Raw genomic sequence first — 17,413 nt, 5'->3', positions numbered from 1 at the left:
TAAGCATCAGAGCCACTATACCCACCAAACAGGACCACCTGCTGGGCCACAAGCACACTTTTGCTTCTCCACTCCGGTTCTCTGCTTGCGGGGTTCCCTCTGCCTCAAGCAGCAAGCCTCTCTACCTTTTAAGATTCTCCTCAAATGCTCCTTCCCCTGTGGATTCCCCAATTTCCCAGCCCCTTCCTGACTCCACCCCATACTCTAAATCTCCATCGCCCTGGCCTCTTTTCAGGCATCTGTCTTACTCTGTCTTGCTTCAATAGCTCCCTGAGGTCTTGCTCCAGCCCTCCAAGGGAGCGAGTATGTCTTATTCAGCTTTGATTCATCAGGAGCACACAGCACACTACCTGGCAGACGGCAGACACTTGAGAATGGGTCTACCGCTCCAAAATCGTTCACCTCAGAAGCATAGGAAGCGATAGGCAAAGGGACACAGAGTCACACAAACAGAACACTAAAGCCAGCAGACACAAAACACGCCAGGGGAAAAGAGGCGTCAAGAGGAAATTGAACCAGGGGAACTACATCTGGCCTTACCCTTCTTGAACTCCTCCAGCATGGCATCCAACTTGGTGTCATGGAAGACAAAGTGCACCGGGTGGTTATAGAAGCGAGTGATAGTCTTGAGGGGGGTGCAGTCATCGGGGTCCACAAAGGCCAAGTCTTTGACGTAGAGAATATCTACAATATTGGACTGCTCGTCTTCGAACACCGGGATGCGAGTATAGCCGCTTTCCATTATCTCCGACATGGTGTTGAAGTCCAGGATGGCATCGCTGCGGATCATGAAGCAGTCCTGGAGCTGGGTCATGATATCCTCTACAGTTTTGGTCCGTAGTTCCAGGGCACCCTGGATCATATTGAGCTCCTCTTTCACGAGGTCATTATAGGGCTCCGTCACCTTCAACATCTCCATCAGCTTCTCCCGGTTGTAAACAGTGCGAATCTCCTGGCCCAGAAAAAAGTCCAGGAGCTTGCTAATGGGAAAACTGAGGGGGAAGGTGAGTAGCATAAAGAATTTGGTGAGAAGGATGGTGTTGGCACCCACAGCCAGCCCATGTCGGGAGCACAGGGCCTGAGGTAGGATCTCCCCAAAGATGACAATGCCAATGGTGGAGGAGGCCACCGCCATGAGGCCGGACCCGATGAGGTTGTCTAGAAGGATTGTGAGGGAGGTGTTGACCAGCACGTTCCCTAGGAGCAACGAGCAGAGAAGGTAGTTGCCCTTGCGCCGGATGGGCTCAATCTTGCGGGCATAGCGCCTCTCCTTCTCGGTGCCACAGTTCTGCACGATGCGCAGCTCCATGGGGTCCAGGGCCATAAGCCCGAGGTTGAGGCCAGAAAATATGCCCGACAGCACCAGCAGCACCGTAATTAGGAGAATGTGCAGCCAGAGAGGCAGGAACCTCCCAGGCTCCTCCACCATGAAGAGCAGTGAGTCCTTGTCCGTCCACTTCAGCCAGGGCCCGTCGGGCTGGGCCCGGGTGCACAGTGCATACAGCTTCATGCTCTCGCTCCTCCGGAGGAACTTGGTGAGCACCACCAGCACGCCGGACGTGTTCCCGCGGCTCACGTTGACCAGCTGCTGGACGACCAGGTCCTTGGTGAGCTCGAGGCAGCTGGTGGACTTGTGGAGGGTCTCGGCATCGTCCACCTCGGTGAAGGAGATCAGGTTGCTGGAGATGTTGCCCAGGCTGTAGCCGTACAGCCTCAGGTTCACGGTGCTGCCCTCGGACACGAAGATGATGCCATCCGGGTTCGTCCCACACGACTTGTTGCAGCTCGCCAGCCTCATGCCCACGATCGTGCCCTGCTGGGGGCTGCCCTGGCCCCGGGCCCCCAGCGCCCACAGCAGCACCAGCAGCACCGGCGCCGCCAGGAGGAGGCGCCCGCGGGCCGGTCCGCCGACCGGGCGCCCGCCCCCGCCCACCGGCGCCATGTTGCTCTGGCTCTGCCGCCGCCGCCGCTCCCCGCGCCACGCCGCGCGGCCCCGGTCCGCACCGCAGCTCCGGCCGCTCCGCTGCCGCCGAGCCAACTGCCCGGGCCGCGAGCCTGACGTCAGGTCAGCGCCCCGCCCGCCCCGCCCCGCCTGCCCACGCCCCTCATTTGCATTGGAGGCCCCGCCCCCGGGGCTCGCTGCTTGAGCGCCCGCCCTTAAGGGGGTACAGTCGCTTAAGGTGGAGCAGCGCCGCCGCGCGAGAGCCGCCAGCGGGTACCCGCCCAGTGCTCCGCCTCCGCGCCCTTCCCCGCCTTTCTCTGCCAGTGGGGCCAGCTCTCCTTCTCCGGGACCTGGTCTCCTAGCTACGCCGTTCCTGTTCCTCGGCCTCGCACGGCCGCACGTGGGAGGCTCCTCTCCCGTCCCTCACCTGCAGCTAGGGGTGGCCCGCTCTGCAGGCAGGGCGAGAAAAGTGCTTTTCCTGATGTAGAAAAAGAAAAAGGAAACCTGAGGGCTTAGGCTGGCATTGCAGCCTGCCCCTTGGAGACTTTTCTGGCCTCCTCACTGCTGAGATTTTTGCCGACCTTGTCCTAAGGCCAGAAGTAGGTTACCCCAGCCCCAGCCCCAGCCCGACGATGCTTCCATCAACCAGTGGCTGCCTGATGTGGAAGGCAAATCTGGGGAACTAAGGTTATAGAAGGGGCAGGCTCTGGCCTAGACTTCTCTCCTGTCTCTTCCATTTAGGCATAGATATTTATTGAACACCTACTTTGTACCAGGCACTTGTTCTAGGCTCTGACAATAGAGCAGTGAACAAGCCAAAGTCGCTGCCCATTGGGGTTTACAGTCTAGAACAGAAAACAGGAGATAAACAAGTAAACACATATATTCATTAAATCCCCCCAACAACCCTCAGAGTTAGTAGAATTATTTCCATTTAGAGATGCAGAAATTGAGCCGAGACAAAAATCCTGGTGCCTCCATACTGTCATCTCCCAGCCCATTTCTCCATCTGTAAATGGGGGTAAGAATGACAGAGCATTACTTCGCTAAGCTTGCGGGATTGTGGACCTAGACATTGAACATGACAGGACAGCTCTTTAGAATATTCTTTGGCTAGGTAGTAGTTGTTGCTACCTGCCTTCCAGGACCAAACTCCTAACCCCAAATTGTGGTGATTGATCAGCTGGGCAGCTGCTTGTGGACATGAGCAGGCAGGCGCGGCAGTGGGCCTATCCCTGAAATGACTGCTTCCTGAATGGCCCTAGCCCTGTGTCAGTAGGGTGTATAAGGAAGACCACAGCTGCCCGCCCTGTGAGGGGGAAGAAGACAGACAGATAAACATCCTTACAATAATTGCACAGGTGCACAGAGAAGATCAGGTACTGGGTTGACCACCAGGTCTCACAGCAAATCTTTTGCCAGTACTGAAGACACAGAACCCACTTTACTCCCTTCCCGCACTGACACTTGTATTTATTTTCATTTTGGTGTAATGTTTGCTAATAAAAGCAGCAATCAGTACCAAACGGAAGGAGCCTAAACAGAAAGGATCACACAATGTTGTGGGAGGAGGTGTGGTAGCAGAGAGGCCCTGACTCAAGAAAGCCCTGTTAGCTGGGATTGAGGGTTCTGTAAACTAGGCCAGCCTGGAGAAGTATGTTGCTAGTAGGGGCCCCACTCATAGCGGATACTTTGCAGTGAGTGCCCAGCAGGTCAGTTTTTTCGAGGAATAGGAGCCTTGGAATGGGCACTGGCTGAGACAGAACAAAAGCAGAACCTTGACTGCCTGTTCCTTCCCTGTCTCCACCAACCAGGAAGAGCTACCTGAATTGCCTCAAAGCAAACCCAGCTCTCCTCATCTCCTAGTGAGCTGTAACACCAGCGCCCTGCTCCACCCCTACCCCCACCTCCCATACTTAGAAACTTTCCCATTCTATTATCAATCAATTGGCTATTTTTTCCCTTTTTCTTATGATTTTATTTTTTTCTCTATTATGTCTTTTTTCTGCTTAAGTACGAATTGGCTCCTTTTATTTTACCCTTTTCAGGCTGTCTACACTCAGAAGCTCTGTTCATATGCACTGAGTCTAATGACAGAAGCCAATAAAGAAAAGGAAAAATAAGTTTTTTAGATATTTAGGTTAAATGTGGGATTACCAGCTTGGGCAACATAGCAAAAACTCATTTCCACTAAAAATTTAAAAAATAAAAAGTTAGCTTGGCATGATGGTGCACACCTGTAGTCCCAGGACCTTGGGAGGCCAAGGCGGGCAGATCACCTGAGGTCAGGAGTTCAAGACCAGCCTGGCCAAGATGATGAAACCCCGTCTCTACTAAAAATACACAGTTAGCCAGGTGAGGTGATGCACGCCTGTAGTCCCAGCTACCCGGGAGGCTGAGGCAGGAGAATCACTTGAACCCGGGAGGCGGAGGTTGCAGTGAGCCGAGATCACGCCACTCACTCCAGCCTGGGTGACAGAGCGAGACTCCATCTCAAAAAATAAATAAATAAATAAATAAATAAATAAATAAATAAATAAAAATAAAAAGATAAACACAGTATCACTTGTTGGAGAAGGCACACGGGGCCCAGGCCGAAGTCCAGGTTCATTTGCTGCCAGCTTGCAACCCTGGTTAGGGAGTCTGCCTTTTCTGCATCTGCCATGTCGAAATACCTCTCCCACCGTAGGGACAGCATGGAGATAGCAGTCTATTAACATGCTGAGTCAGGAAGCTTGGATGCATGTGTGGCTCTCTGTTAGCCAGGCGGTGAGAATGGCAGAAAGCAAACGTGCAAGCGAGGAGCCTCTCTCCTTTGGGGGCAGATAAAGGCATGATCAAACCTGTTTTCTCTGCCTCAAGGTGGCAAGTCCTTACTTACCTAGTTGCTTCTATTTGCAAGTAGAAATTGCCCAGAGGAGTCCTGATCCTGGACCCCTGAGCATGTAACAGCACCCTAGTCATGAGATCCTTGGAGCTCACTGCTTCTTTCCAGGTGTAAGCCCTATGGCAACATGGCTACACCTCCCATAATTGAGCCCACTCCCTTCTGGTTCTGTGCAGGGAAACAGTCTTAAAGGCTTAGTGCCCCTTCACTTGTACCTGGCATCATGCTGATGCTGGAGATCCGATGATGAACAAGGATCCTGAATTAGTAACCTGGGATCTAATCCTCCCAGGCTAGCTTCTTAGCCCTCTTCACCCTCTGGGTCTCCAAGATGGGGTGCTGCTGGCAGAGGAGCTGCTGGCAGAGAAGCTGCTGGCAGAGAAGCTGCCCTTCCGCTAGTGGGGCTCAGAGCCTGAGGCCTGCCCTGGCCCCACAATGGGTAGAATCCCTCTGGGTGCACCGTGGGCCCCGGGGTTGGAGAACCTGGTTGGGGACCATGAGACATCTTTTCAGGGTGAGCTATGCCCGTCGTCAGTACATGCAGTGGCCTGTTCACCGGCTGCCCATGAGTCTACTATGATAGCCCTGAACATCTGCAGGACTCATCCATGCAGTTAAATTGTCTCAGGAAGGAAGGAGCAGTCAACCCTCTACAGAAGGACAGAGTTAGCGTGGAGTTAGCTAGGGTGGTGCTCAAATCCCAACTCAGGTCATCCCAGCAAGTGGGGGCATGAGGACTTGGATAGGAGGATGTCATGATTTCTGCCTGAGACAAATGTTTAATTGAGCCAGAGGAGGGAGTGAGAGCATCACATCAGTGGGTCCAGGCCAAGGAAGTCGAATGCCAGAGCAGCAAAGGTGAAGGGGTTTGTATTAACTATGTAAGTGGGCTTCAAGCTTCCTCTGGCCATAGGACAAATTGTTTTTCTTGGGAGCAGGACCATGGAAGGCAGGATACCCCACCATGGAGGTTCAGAGCACAGCTTTGAAGGACCCTGGGGGCTGGCTTGGCTGCTGATTGCCTGTGTGACCTGGGACTCTGGGACATTCTCGAGTGTTGAGTGAAATGATGAGCCATAAGTACTTCACAAGTGCCTGGCCCATAGTAAGAGCTCAATAAACATGCCCAGTCACCATGATAATGATGAAAATGATGTGGCCAGGATCATTTTTTTTCTTTTTCTTTTTTTTTAAGACGGGGTCTTGCTCTGTCATCCAGGCTGGAATGCAGTGGCATAATCATGGCTCAATGTAGCCTCAACCTCCCTAGGCCAAGTAATCCTCCCACCTCAGCCTCCTGAGTAGCTGGGACCACAGTCCCAGCGCACGCCACCATGCCCAGCTAATTTTTTTTGTTTTTTTGTAGAGACGGGTTCTCCCTATGTTGCCCAGTCTGGTCTCGAACTCCTGGTCTCAAGTGATCCTCCTAGTTCGGCCTCCCAAAGTGTTGGGATTACAAGTGTGAGCCACTGTACCCAGACCCACAGCCAGGATTTTTAGAAGACACTTGTAAATTTCCTTAGCTCCAGTGTGTCTCTCCATCCACCTGCAGCCACAGTCTTCTCGTTCATTTTCTTCCCTTTCTTCCAGAGGGAGAACACCAGGTGTGGATGATGAGGGAAGAAGGGAGGCTGAGGGGGAGGCCACCTGGGACTAAGCAAGACCCCATTGGACCCTTGGGCCTCCGTCGGGAGGACAGAAAGGAGGCGGGAGTGGAGGAGAAACCTGTTGGAAGAGAGCCTAAGAAAGGTTTTCACAGCACAGAGGGGCTCAAGCTGAAAAGGCTGGGGAAGCCAGGAAGAGAGGGAAGCCTCTCATTCGGTGTCAGACACCTGGCAAGCCCTTAGGCAAGGCCTGCCTGGGAAGCCCCTGCTAGTACCAGGGCCTGGGGGGGGAGTCCTTCGGCCTGCCCTCTCTCATGCCACCATCCTCCCGTCCTCTGTCCCCAAGACTGGCTACCCCAGGAAGCTTTTCCTTCCACCTCCAAAAACACAAAGACCGTTATTTTAAGACATTAACTATAAATCACTAGAGAAAAACAAGAAAGAACAAGATAGCAGACACTGAGTATTTATAAAGGCCTAATAACAAAGTGCTTGGAATCATTGTCCCTAGTTTCTGACCCTTTTTCTGAGTTGGCAAATGAATAAAAGTCTATAGCAAAAATATCAAGGGCTCTGTCCCTTGCTAACCAGAGAATTGGGGCAAAGTGCTTTACCTCTTACGGCCTTGGTTTCTCCATTTTTAAGATGGGGATTACCTGGGAGGCAGAGGTTTCAGTGAGCCGAGGTCACAGCACTGAACTCCAGCCTAGGCGACAGAGTGAGACTCTGTCTCAAAAAAAAAAAAAAAAAAAAAAAAAAAGGCCGGGTGTGGTGGCTCACACCCGTAATCCTAGCACTTTGGGAGGCCAAGGTGGGTGGATCACCTTAGGTCAGAAGTTCGAGACCAGCCTGGTCAACATGGTGAAACCCCGTCTCTACTAAAAATAAAAAAATTAGCCAGGTGTGGTGGTGTGCACCTGTAATTCCAGCTACTCAGGAGGCTGAGGCAGGAGAATTGCTTGAATCCAAGAGGCAGAGGTTGCAGTGAGTCGACATTGTGCCATTGCACTCCTGCCTGGGCGACAAGAGCAAGACTAAAATAAACAAATAAATACATCCATAAAATAAATAAAAATAAATAATTTAAAAAATAAGATGGGAGGCCAGGCGTGGTGGCTCATGCCTGTAATCCCAGCACTTTGGGAGACTGAGGCAGGCGGATCACGAGGTCAGGAGACCAAGACCATCCTGGCTAACACGGTGAAACCCCGTCTCTACTAAAAATACAAAAAATTAGCCGGGCGTGGTGGCAGGCACCTGTAGTCCCAGCTACTCAGGAGGCTGAGGCAGGAGAATGGCGTGAACCTGTGAGGCGGACGTTGCAGTGAGCCAAGATTGTGCCACTGCACTCCAGCCTGGGCGACACAGCAAGACTCCATCTCAAAAACATTAAAAATTAAAATTAAAATTAATAAATAAATAAATATATAAATAAGATGGGGATCAAGAGACCCTTCTCGCTGCATCAAAAGGACGAAATGAGCCAGAGTTTGAAAGCACTGCTTCATAAATATTAGTTCCTTTTCCTTCCCCAGTCCAAGATTTTCAATTACATTTCAATCATTTGATCATTTGTGTAATTTTCTATTTTTACTGGGCTTCTAAAATGCAAACGTTATACATGTTCACTGCAACAAATTCAAATAACACAGTGTATAAAGTAGAAGACGTTGGTCCTCCTTCCCCTTCATCTCAGTGCCCAGGGATTATTTTTCTGTTAGGTATTTTGCCACCGTCTGCCTTCTTCTCTACCGTACTCTGGGCTAGAGGCCATTTCTTATTGGGTTTAGAATCCCTTGGGGACAAAAACTGTATCCTAGTCATCTCTGTATCAGGAATGCCCAGCATTCCATATGCATTTATGGAATGAATTGGACTTCCCTTAAAAAAAAGGTATGAGCATGCAGTGGTGTGCACCTATAATCCCAGCTACTCAGGAGGCTGAGGCAGAAGGATCAATTGAGCCCAGGAGTTTGAGGCTGCAGCATGTTACAATTAGTCCTGTGATTAGCCACTGTACTGTAGCCTGGGCAACACAGCAAGACCCCATCTCTAAAAAAAAAAAATAAAGTGGAGTAGGAATAATACTTCTGGGGCCCAGGGGTAGGAAATGAGTGGGAAGCACTTGGCCAGTGGCCTTATATGGAAAATTACAATTCAGTTTCCAGAGACTATATGTATTGATATAAGTTATGTTCTTTTTCTTAAATCTGTGTCTTGATCCAACTAAACTGATTTCTTGACTGATCCACATTTGAAAAATACTGGTCTCATATATTGCTCGTGGGTATCCCAGTGGAATTCCTCTGGGAGGAAGGCTGCAGGGACTGGTGGGCATTAGAAGGCTCCAGTCTATGTAAGCGGCACCCACACCTACAGAACTTGGCACAACTCACATGTGGCAATAAATCACCTCGGGCATACTAATGAGGCAAGTTCCTGATTCCTCAATCTTATCGTGTCCCAACTCACCCAGAAATCCATAGAGCCTTTGAGATCTTCATTCCCAAGTATTCAGATTTTCTCAGGTTTGTCCCAAACAATTGCCAAGGTGCCAATTACCTGTAGACATTTAGCAACCAGCTCAACTTGCTGGGCCTCGGGGCCTTTATCTTTAACATAAGAGGACTGGATCAGATAAACAGGTTCAATGCTGATTTAAATTCCTGGATGTGTAATTCTTCCTGGGCAACACAGGAAAGAATTGCAACTGACCTCTGTAAGGTGAAGGCAAAATCAGCATCATCGGATGTAGTGGGCACCTGTTGTTTGGATCTGTCCAGCTTCCTGTCCTCTTTCTTCCAGGCACGGTACCTCCCCTTTCTCTGGAGACTTGACCCTCCCCCATTTCCAAGGGTTCCAGTAGGAATGGGCAACTGCCCAGGCATGGACAATCAAAGCACCCCTGGCTGTGGTTCATCTACAGTGGGGAGGAGACCAAGAAGGGTTGATCAGGGGTCTGACTGGGGCTTTTATACAAGGAGGAGATCCCTAAATGGAGGTTATGGGAGCCTCAAGCTGTCAGCTACAGTGTCCCCTCTACCTGCTGAATGCACTGCTTCTGTCCCCCTTCACCTCAGCCCTGCAAGGAGACTGGGAGGGGTACCATTCTTAGTCTCATTTTCCAAATAGAGATTTGGAAAGGTTAAGAATCCTTCTCAGGGTTGGGTGCAGCAGTTCACACCTGCAATCCCAGCACTTTGGGAAGCCAGGAGTTTGAGACCAGCTTGGGTAACATAGTGAGACCACTACCACCAACCCACCCCCGCCCCCGCCCCCATCTCTACAAAAGTTAAAAAATAGGCCGGGCATGGTAGCTCACGCCTGAAGCCCAGCACTTTGGGAGGCAGAGGTGGGTGGATCACCTGAGGTCAGGAGTTCAAGACCAGCCTGGCCAATATAGTGAAACCCCATCTCTACTAAAAATACAAAAACTTAGCTGGGCGTGGTGGTGGGCACCTGTAATCACAGCTACTTGGGAGGCTGAAGAATGAGAATCACTAGAACCCGGGAGGCAGAGGTTGCTGTGAATTGAGATTGCACCACTGCACTCCAGCCTAGGCAACAGAGCAAGACTCTGTCTCAATAAAATAAAATAAAATAAAATAAAATAAAATAAAATAAAATAAAATAAAATAGGCTGGGCGTGGTGGCTCACGCCTGTAATCCCAGCACTTTGGGAGGCTGAGGCAGGTGGATCACCTGAAGTCAGGAGTTTGAGACCATCCTGGCCAACATGGTGAAACCTCGTCTCTACTAAAAATACAAAAATTAGCTAGGTGCGGTGGCGCACGCCTGTAATCCCAGCTGCTGGGGAGGCAGAGGCAGGAGAATCGCTTGAACCCGGGAGGCGGAGGTTGCAGTGAGCCAATATCGCGCCACTGCACTCTAGCCTAGATGACAGAGTGAGACTCCATCTAAAAAAAAAAAAAAAAATTAGTTGGGTGTGGTGGCAGATGCCTGTAATCCCAACGACTCAGGAAGCTGAGGCAGGAGAATTGCTTGAACCGGGAAGTCAGAGGGTGCAGTGAGCCGAGATTGGGCCACTGCACTCCAGCCTGGGTGACAGAACAAGACTCCGTCTCAGAGAAAAAAAAAAAAAAAATTATGACCTTTTTATCAGCGATCTCAACTCAGTGGGGACTTAACATGACACGGTTTTATTTCTTTTCCATTCAAGGCTTTTAACCCATTTCTGTCACATTTCCCTTTCTGTATCCTTCTTGAGGTCTTGGATAGATTCCATAGCTTTATTATGACTTTTAGCGTTAAAAGCCCAATCAGGGCCTGTAACCCCAACACTGTAGAAGGCTGAGGAGGGAGGATTGCTTAAGCCTAGGAGTTCAAGACTAGCCTCGTCAACATGGCAAAACCCCATCTCTGTGAAAAACTTAAAAATTAGCCAGGCTTTCTGGTGCACACCTGTGGTCCTTGCTACTTGGGAGGTTGAGGCTGGAGGATCGCTTGAGCCCAGGAGGTCGAGCCTGCAGTGAGTCATGATTGCTCTACTGCATTCCAACCTCAGAGCAAGGCCCTGCCTCAAAAACAAAACAAAACAAAACAAACAAACAAAACAAGCCGGGCACGGTGGCTCACGTCTGTAATCCTAGCATTTTGGGAGGCTGAGACGGGCAGATCACTTGAGGTCATGAGTTCGAGACCAGCCTGGCAACCATGGCGAAACCCTGTCTCTACTAAAATACAAAAATTAGCCAGGCATGGTGGCGCATGCCTGTAGTCCTAGCTGCTTGGGAGGCTTAGTAGGCAGGAGAATCTCTTGAACCCGGGAGGAGGAGGTTGCAGTAAGCTGAGATTGTGCCGCTGCACTCCTGCCTGGGTGACAGAGCGAGACTCCATCTCAAAAAAAGAAAGAAAGAAAGAAAACAAACAAAAACAAAACGAACAAACAAAAAAACAAACAAAAACCCCTGCCATCTCATTTCTGATATATATCATCTGTGTTCCCGCCCTGTCATCCTTCTCCAGGCTTGGGGATCAGTTTCTGCTGCAGGGACTTGGATGTGGGGAAGGGCTTTGGTCAGCCTTTCACCCCTCCATTTGCTGCAGTTGGCTGGAGGGGGATATATTTGTGTGTTCACTTGTGCCTGGTGTTGAGTGTAGGCGGTCATGGGATGGTCCTGGTACACGTTCCCTTCCTTCTCAGGTCTAACTTTTCCAGTGTTGAGGAAAGAGAGAGAAGAAGGGTAATTTCCCTTTACTTAATTTCCCACAGTTTAATCGCCACTCCTTTTGTGGTTGTTACTGGTTGACTGAGTGTGATTTGGTGTCCAGATATTGGTTCTCATAGTGGGAGGCTCAGCCCCTGTCAGGTCTCCTTGCTTCTTGCTTCTCACTGTTGGGGTCCCGTTTGCCTGGAGGGTACCCTTCTTTGGGGAGCCTACCCAAGGGTTGTAGTAGAGACCACTCCAGGGCCAACCCCTCTTTTTTTTTTAATTTTCGAGACAGGGCTTGCTTTGTTGCCCAGGCTAGAGCGCAGTGGTGCAATCTCGGTTCACTGCAGCCTCAACCTCCTGGCCTCAAGTGATCCTCCCACCTCAGCCTCCCGAGTAGCTGGAACTACAGGCATGCACCAGTGCACCCTGCCACCAACCCCTCTTTCTGCCCAACTCTCTCTCTAATTCTCTCCTCCCTCTGCTCTAAGAGTGAGGAGGGCAGGAGAGCAAGTTCACTGCCTGAGCAGAGGTCTGATTGTGGCATGAGGTGCCAGTCTTCCTTCTTTGCAGGAGCCTCCAAATTGTTTTGGAACATCCCCTTCATTTGACTTGGAAAGGTATGTGAGTTATCTTTTTTTTTTTTTTTGAGACAGAGTTTCACTCTTGTTACCCAGGCTGGAGTGCAATGGCATGATCTTGGCTCACCGCAACCTCCACCTCCTGGGTTCAAGCAATTCTCCTGCCTCAGCCTCCCGAGTAGCTGGGATTACAGGCATGTGCCACCACGCCCGGCTAATTTTTGTATTTTTAGTAGAGACAAGGTTTCTCCATGTTGGTCAGGCTGGTCTCGATCTCCCGACCTCAGGTGATCCGCCCACCTCAGCCTCCCAAAGTGCTGGGATAACAGGTGTGAGCCACCGCGCCCGGCGTGAGTTATCTATTGATGTATAAAAAAGTATGCCCAAAACTCAGTGGCTTAAAACAATAAGCATTTATTATGTCACAGTTTCTGTGGGGAGGAATTAGGAAGCAATTTAGCTGGGTGGTTCTGGCTCAGACTCTCTCATGGGTTGCAGTCAATGTTGGCTGGGGCTGCAATCACCTGAAGGCTTTAATTGGGGCTGGAAGATCCACCTCCAACCTCACTCTCGTGGCTGTTGGCAAGAGGCTTCAGTTTCTCACCATGAGGACCTGCATGAAGGGCTGCTCACAATATTGTAGCTGGCTTTCCCTAGAGTAAGTGATCCGAGGAGAAAAACACTGAGGTGGAGACCGCAATGTCTTTTATGACTTAGCTTCAGAAATGCCATATCACTGCTTCTTCCATATTCTATTGGTCACATAGACCCAACCTAATATCGTGTGGGAAAGAACTACACAAGGGCATGAATAGCAGGAGGGGAAATCATGGGGGCCACTTGGAAGTGACTATCACAAGATGTGAGGGAAAATTCTCTTTACTGAGCACTGATCCACTGATAAATTTCCCGCCATCCTGACCCCTAACAGCTTCTCTCTGTCTCTCTCTTTTATTTTTTTTGGATGGAGTTTCGCTTTTGTTGCCCAGGCTGGTGTACAATGGTGCAATTTGGCTCACTGCAACCTCTGCCTCCCAGGTTCAAGAGATTCTCCTGTCTCAGCCTCCCAAGTAGCTGGGATTACAGGCATGCGCCACCATGCCCGGCTAATTTTGTATTTTTAGTAGAGATGGGGTTTCTCCATGTTGGTCAGGCTGGTCTCGAACTCCTGACCTCTGGTAATCCACCCGCCCTGGCCTCCCAAAGTGCTGGGATTACAGGCGTGAGCCACCACGCCTGGCCCGCTCTCTCTTTTTTAGACAGGGTCTCATTCTATCACCCAGGGTGGAGTGCAGTGGCACGTTTATAGCTCACTGTAATCTCAAACTCCTGGGCCCAAGTGATCGTCTGGCCTCAGCCTCCTGAGTAGCTGGAACTACAGGTGCTCACCACCATGCCTGGCTAATTTTTTCAATGTTTTTGTAGTGATGGGGTGTCATTATATTGACCAGGCTGTTCTCGAACTCCTGGCCTCAAGCCATCTTCCCTCCTCAGCCTCCCAAAGTGCTGGGATTACAGGTGTAAGCCACCATTCCCTGACCCAACAGCTTCTCTCTCTCTTTTTTGTAATTGGACAGCCTCCTCAGCCAGAGAAGGCTTAGAGAGACTTTCTAGCTTCTCTTAAAGACTGAAAATTTGGTCTTACTGGGGTGATGGTATGGCTCTGAGGACTTGTTTTTTGCTTAGATGTCCAATAGAAATATAAACCTATTATCACCAAAATGAAACTACTGATCTTTTCTCCATAAAGACATATCTTCCATAATTTCCCTTCTATCAGTATATGGCAATTCCATCTTTCCAGTTGCTGTGGCCCAAAATCTTGGAGTCATCCTTCACTCCTCTCCTTCTCTCTCTCTCTCTTTTTTTTTTTTTTTTTTTTTTTTTTTTGAGACAGAGTCTCGCTCTGCCACACAGGCTGGAATGATGGAGTAGTATGATCTCGGCTCACTGCAACCTCCGCCTCCCGGGTTCAAGCAATTCTCCTGCCTCAGCCTCCCGAGTAGCTGGGATTACAGGCATGTGCCACCACACCTGGCTGATTTTTGTATTTTTAGTAGAGATGGGGTTTCACCATGTTGGCCAGGCTGGTCTTGAACTCCTGACCTCAGGTGATCCGCCCGCCAGGGCCTCCCAAAGTGTTGTTTACAGGCGTGAGTCACTGTGCCTGGCCCATTCCTCTCCTTTTCTTAGACCTCTGTGTTTCCCATCAGCAAACCCTGCTGGCTGTACCTTGAAAATATATCTAAGACCCATCCAGTAGCCCCACCCAGCCCCCAGCCCTTCCCTTTCCCACTGGGTAACCGCACAGCTGCCTGCTTATTCTCTTTGCTCCTACCCTTTCTACTCTACAGTCACTCCTCAAGTCAGTAGCCAGAGTGATCCTTTAAAAATATAGGTTAGATTACAACCTCCTCTGTTCAAAACCTTCCAGAGACTCTCCATCTCTTTTATTTATTTATTTGAGACAGAGTCTCGCTCTGTCGCCCAGGCTGGAGTATAGTGGCGTGATCTCGGCTCATTGCAACCTCCACCTCCTGGGTTCAAGCGATTCTCCTGCCTCAGCCCCCACAAGTAACTGGGATTACAGATGCGTGCCATCATGCCTGGCTAATTTTTGTATTTTTAGTAGAGACGGAGTTTCACCGTGTTGGCCAGGCTGGTCTCAAACTCCTGACCTCAGGTCATCTGCCTGTCTTGGCCTCCCAAAGTGCTGGGATTACAGGTGTGAGCCACTGTGCCTAGCCCAGTCTTTCATTTCATGCTTTCAGAAGTCCAGTGTGGTGGGTTTCATCACACTCATTTTACAGACAGAAGATCTGAGACTCAGAGAGATTACGTAATTTTCCTGAGATCATACAGTACAGCTGGGTCTCAAAAGGCAGAAGTTTCATTCCAACTCCAATCAGATATGCCAGAGTTCTCCTCCTTCACCACACCCCATTCTACGATCCTTGGCGAATCTTATGCCCTAACTCTGTGGGAAGCAAGCATCTGGATCCCCAGAGGCATTGCTGAATTGTGGGAGCTCTGCCACTGCAAGGAGAGCCACCATAGATCTGAGATCTGGTCCTCAGGATACTGGTTTTTATCAATTCCCCTGCAAATAAACAGACTGGGAGGGCTAAGTCACTCTGGCTAAACTAATAACTAAGTGATAAACCCAAATACACACTAATTTCTTAATTTATACAGAAAAATTAAACTGCTAAGAGGATTAGAACGTTAGGCTGGAAGTCTTTATAAATACGCTCAGAAAATAGGCTTTATTTGAATAAAGTTATATGGAGATCTAACACAGGCTGCTTAGAAGCACTCTCTTTCCTGGACAGAACTGATACAACTCTGACTTATTTTCATCCCTTGACTGTTCTTTTTCTAGATTGCAGACGCCTCTCTCTTTAGTTATGACAACATTATATTGGATGGGTCACAATGAACTTTACTAGATTATAGTTAATTACAGTTTTCCTTCCCTCAGGGAAATTTAGAAAACACCACAAATGCATACCCAGCATATTTCCTCATCATCTCCACGGGAGACTTTGAGAAGCTTTTCCTTACGGCAACTCTCACACATCCATGAAGCTGGAGGGAGTGTTGTGCACCCCTATCTCAGCTGCAGCAGTTCTCAACATCCTGATGCTTTTTTTGTTTATCCATCCTACCCTTCTAAACACACACACACGATATTCCTCTAGAGTATCTTAAAGCAAATCTTTAATTCTTATCTTTAAATTCAGGAGTTGGAGCCTCTATGAACTGTTCTTGTCATTTTTTTTTTTTAAGAGATAGGGTCTTTCTCTGTCACCCAGGCTGGAGTGGAGTGGCCTGATCATGGCTCACTACAGCCTTGACCCCCGGGGTAAAATGTCGCAGCCTCCCAAGTAGCTGGGCCTACCGGCGCACACTAGCACACCCAGACAATTTTTTGTATTTTTTGTATTTTTTAGAGACGGGGTCTTACTATGTTGCCCAGGCTGGTGTCAAACTCCTGAATTCAAGTGATCCTCCTGCCTCGGCCTCCAAAGTGCTCGTACTGCAGGTGTGAGCCACTGAGCCCAGCCTGTCCTAATCTTAAAGATTACCACAACAAGTCATTGTGAGGTCAAAATGAGATACTGCATGTGAAAGGGCTGTAGTTCTGAAAACTGGGCTGCGTATTAAATTCTCTGGTGGAGGGTGGGGTGGGCACGATGGCTCATGCCTATAATTCCAACACTTTCGAGGGCCAAGGTAGTAGGATGCCTCGAGCCCGGGAGTTCAAGACCAGCCTGGGCAAATAGCAAGACATTATCTCTACAAAAAATAAAATAATAGCCAGGCATGGTGACACCTGACTGTATTCCAACTACTCAGAAGGCTAAGGCAGGAGGATCCCTTGAGCCCAGGAGTTTGAGCCAGGAGAATCCCTTGAGCCCAGGAGTTTGAGGCTGCAGTTCACACCACTGCACTCTAGCCTGGGTGACAGAACAAGACCCCATCTCTTAAAAGAAAAAAAAAAAGGCCAGGCATGGTGGCTCACGCCTGTAATCCCAGTACTTTGGGACGCTGAAGTGGGCGGATTGCTTGAACCCAGGAGTTCGAGACCAGCCTGGCCAACATGGTGAAACCCCGTCTCTACAAAAAATATAAAATTTAGCTGGGTGTGGTGGCATGTGCCTGTGGTCCCAGCTACTCAGGAGGCTGAGGTGGGAGGATGGCTTGAGCCTGGGAGGCAGAGGTTGCAGTGAGCTGTGATCACACCACTGCCCTCCACTGGGTGATAGAGTGAGACTCTCTCTCAAAAAAAAAAATTAAATTCTCCAGGTTTTATTTTTTTTTCTTCAAAGCTAAATCCCTACACTTGTTGAGTCACGTGTCTGGCAGTAGGGCTCAGGCAAAGGTACCTACCCCAGGATATTTGACTGTGGCTTTCAGGAGTCCAATGTTGAGAAGTCACCGCTGGGAAGTAGCTAGCTAGTTAGTGTTGGAGCTGCTATCCTCTTGTATGCTTCAGTGGCTACCTGGGGAACTGGAGGTACAGTTGGTAGGACCCGGTCAGCTGTGACTATTGGGCTGAAGATGGACCTGACACACTGGATACCTGAGGATGGATGGATGGTTGTACTTGGCCTAGGGAGGGCTGCTTCTGTCCTGGGAGGGGGTGGATCAGAATTGAATGGCAAGGTTTGTAAAAGAAGGGTGAGAAGCAGTGGAAAGAATAGGCCAAGAGGCTGCCCTGGAGC

The 17,413-nt window shown here is 49.7% G+C and overlaps 1 protein-coding gene across 7 annotated transcripts in view, besides 7 other annotated features; it reads right to left on the bottom strand.

The window, feature by feature from the left end:
• The window catches only part of CNNM4 (cyclin and CBS domain divalent metal cation transport mediator 4), a 50,973-nt gene extending 48,933 nt beyond the window's left edge, over positions 1-2,040 (bottom strand). For all 7 annotated transcript variants that reach the window (XR_007071513.1, XM_047443911.1, XM_005263914.5 and 4 more), the window contains exon 1: positions 541-2,040. Coding sequence is in view for 6 of the 7 variants with exons in the window: in XM_047443911.1 (XP_047299867.1) it covers positions 541-1,942 (1,402 nt within the window). In the remaining variant the exon portion in view is untranslated. The remainder of the gene's footprint in view (positions 1-540) is intronic.
• Positions 815-1,403: an enhancer, noted in NCBI's record as "H3K4me1 hESC enhancer chr2:97427276-97427864 (GRCh37/hg19 assembly coordinates)". NCBI's record gives its function as "activates a minimal SCP1, AML or CMV promoter by ChIP-STARR-seq in naive H9 embryonic stem cells {active_cell/tissue: H9 hESC(naive)}" and the evidence as "EXISTENCE:reporter gene assay evidence [ECO:0000049][PMID:30033119]".
• Positions 815-2,222: a biological region, named in NCBI's record as "H3K4me1 hESC enhancers GRCh37_chr2:97426686-97427275 and GRCh37_chr2:97427276-97427864".
• Positions 1,283-1,532: an enhancer, noted in NCBI's record as "active region_16225". NCBI's record gives its function as "activates an Ori minimal core promoter by ATAC-STARR-seq in GM12878 lymphoblastoid cells {active_cell/tissue: GM12878}" and the evidence as "EXISTENCE:reporter gene assay evidence [ECO:0000049][PMID:35858748]".
• Positions 1,404-1,993: an enhancer, noted in NCBI's record as "H3K4me1 hESC enhancer chr2:97426686-97427275 (GRCh37/hg19 assembly coordinates)". NCBI's record gives its function as "activates a minimal SCP1, AML or CMV promoter by ChIP-STARR-seq in naive and primed H9 embryonic stem cells {active_cell/tissue: H9 hESC(naive and primed)}" and the evidence as "EXISTENCE:reporter gene assay evidence [ECO:0000049][PMID:30033119]".
• Positions 1,496-1,679: a silencer, noted in NCBI's record as "fragment chr2:97427000-97427183 (GRCh37/hg19 assembly coordinates)". NCBI's record gives its function as "represses an EF-1alpha promoter that drives an FKBP-Casp9 reporter gene in an ReSE screen in K562 erythroleukemia cells {active_cell/tissue: K562}" and the evidence as "EXISTENCE:reporter gene assay evidence [ECO:0000049][PMID:32094911]".
• Positions 1,803-2,222: a silencer, noted in NCBI's record as "silent region_11774". NCBI's record gives its function as "represses an Ori minimal core promoter by ATAC-STARR-seq in GM12878 lymphoblastoid cells {active_cell/tissue: GM12878}" and the evidence as "EXISTENCE:reporter gene assay evidence [ECO:0000049][PMID:35858748]".
• Positions 2,553-2,602: an enhancer, noted in NCBI's record as "active region_16224". NCBI's record gives its function as "activates an Ori minimal core promoter by ATAC-STARR-seq in GM12878 lymphoblastoid cells {active_cell/tissue: GM12878}" and the evidence as "EXISTENCE:reporter gene assay evidence [ECO:0000049][PMID:35858748]".

The sequence above is a fragment of the Homo sapiens genome, chromosome 2, assembly GCF_000001405.40.
Source record: "Homo sapiens chromosome 2, GRCh38.p14 Primary Assembly".
Classification (NCBI taxonomy): Eukaryota; Metazoa; Chordata; class Mammalia; order Primates; family Hominidae; genus Homo; species Homo sapiens.
Note: the sequence above shows the minus strand (reverse complement) of the source record. Positions and strands in the feature narration are given on the sequence as shown.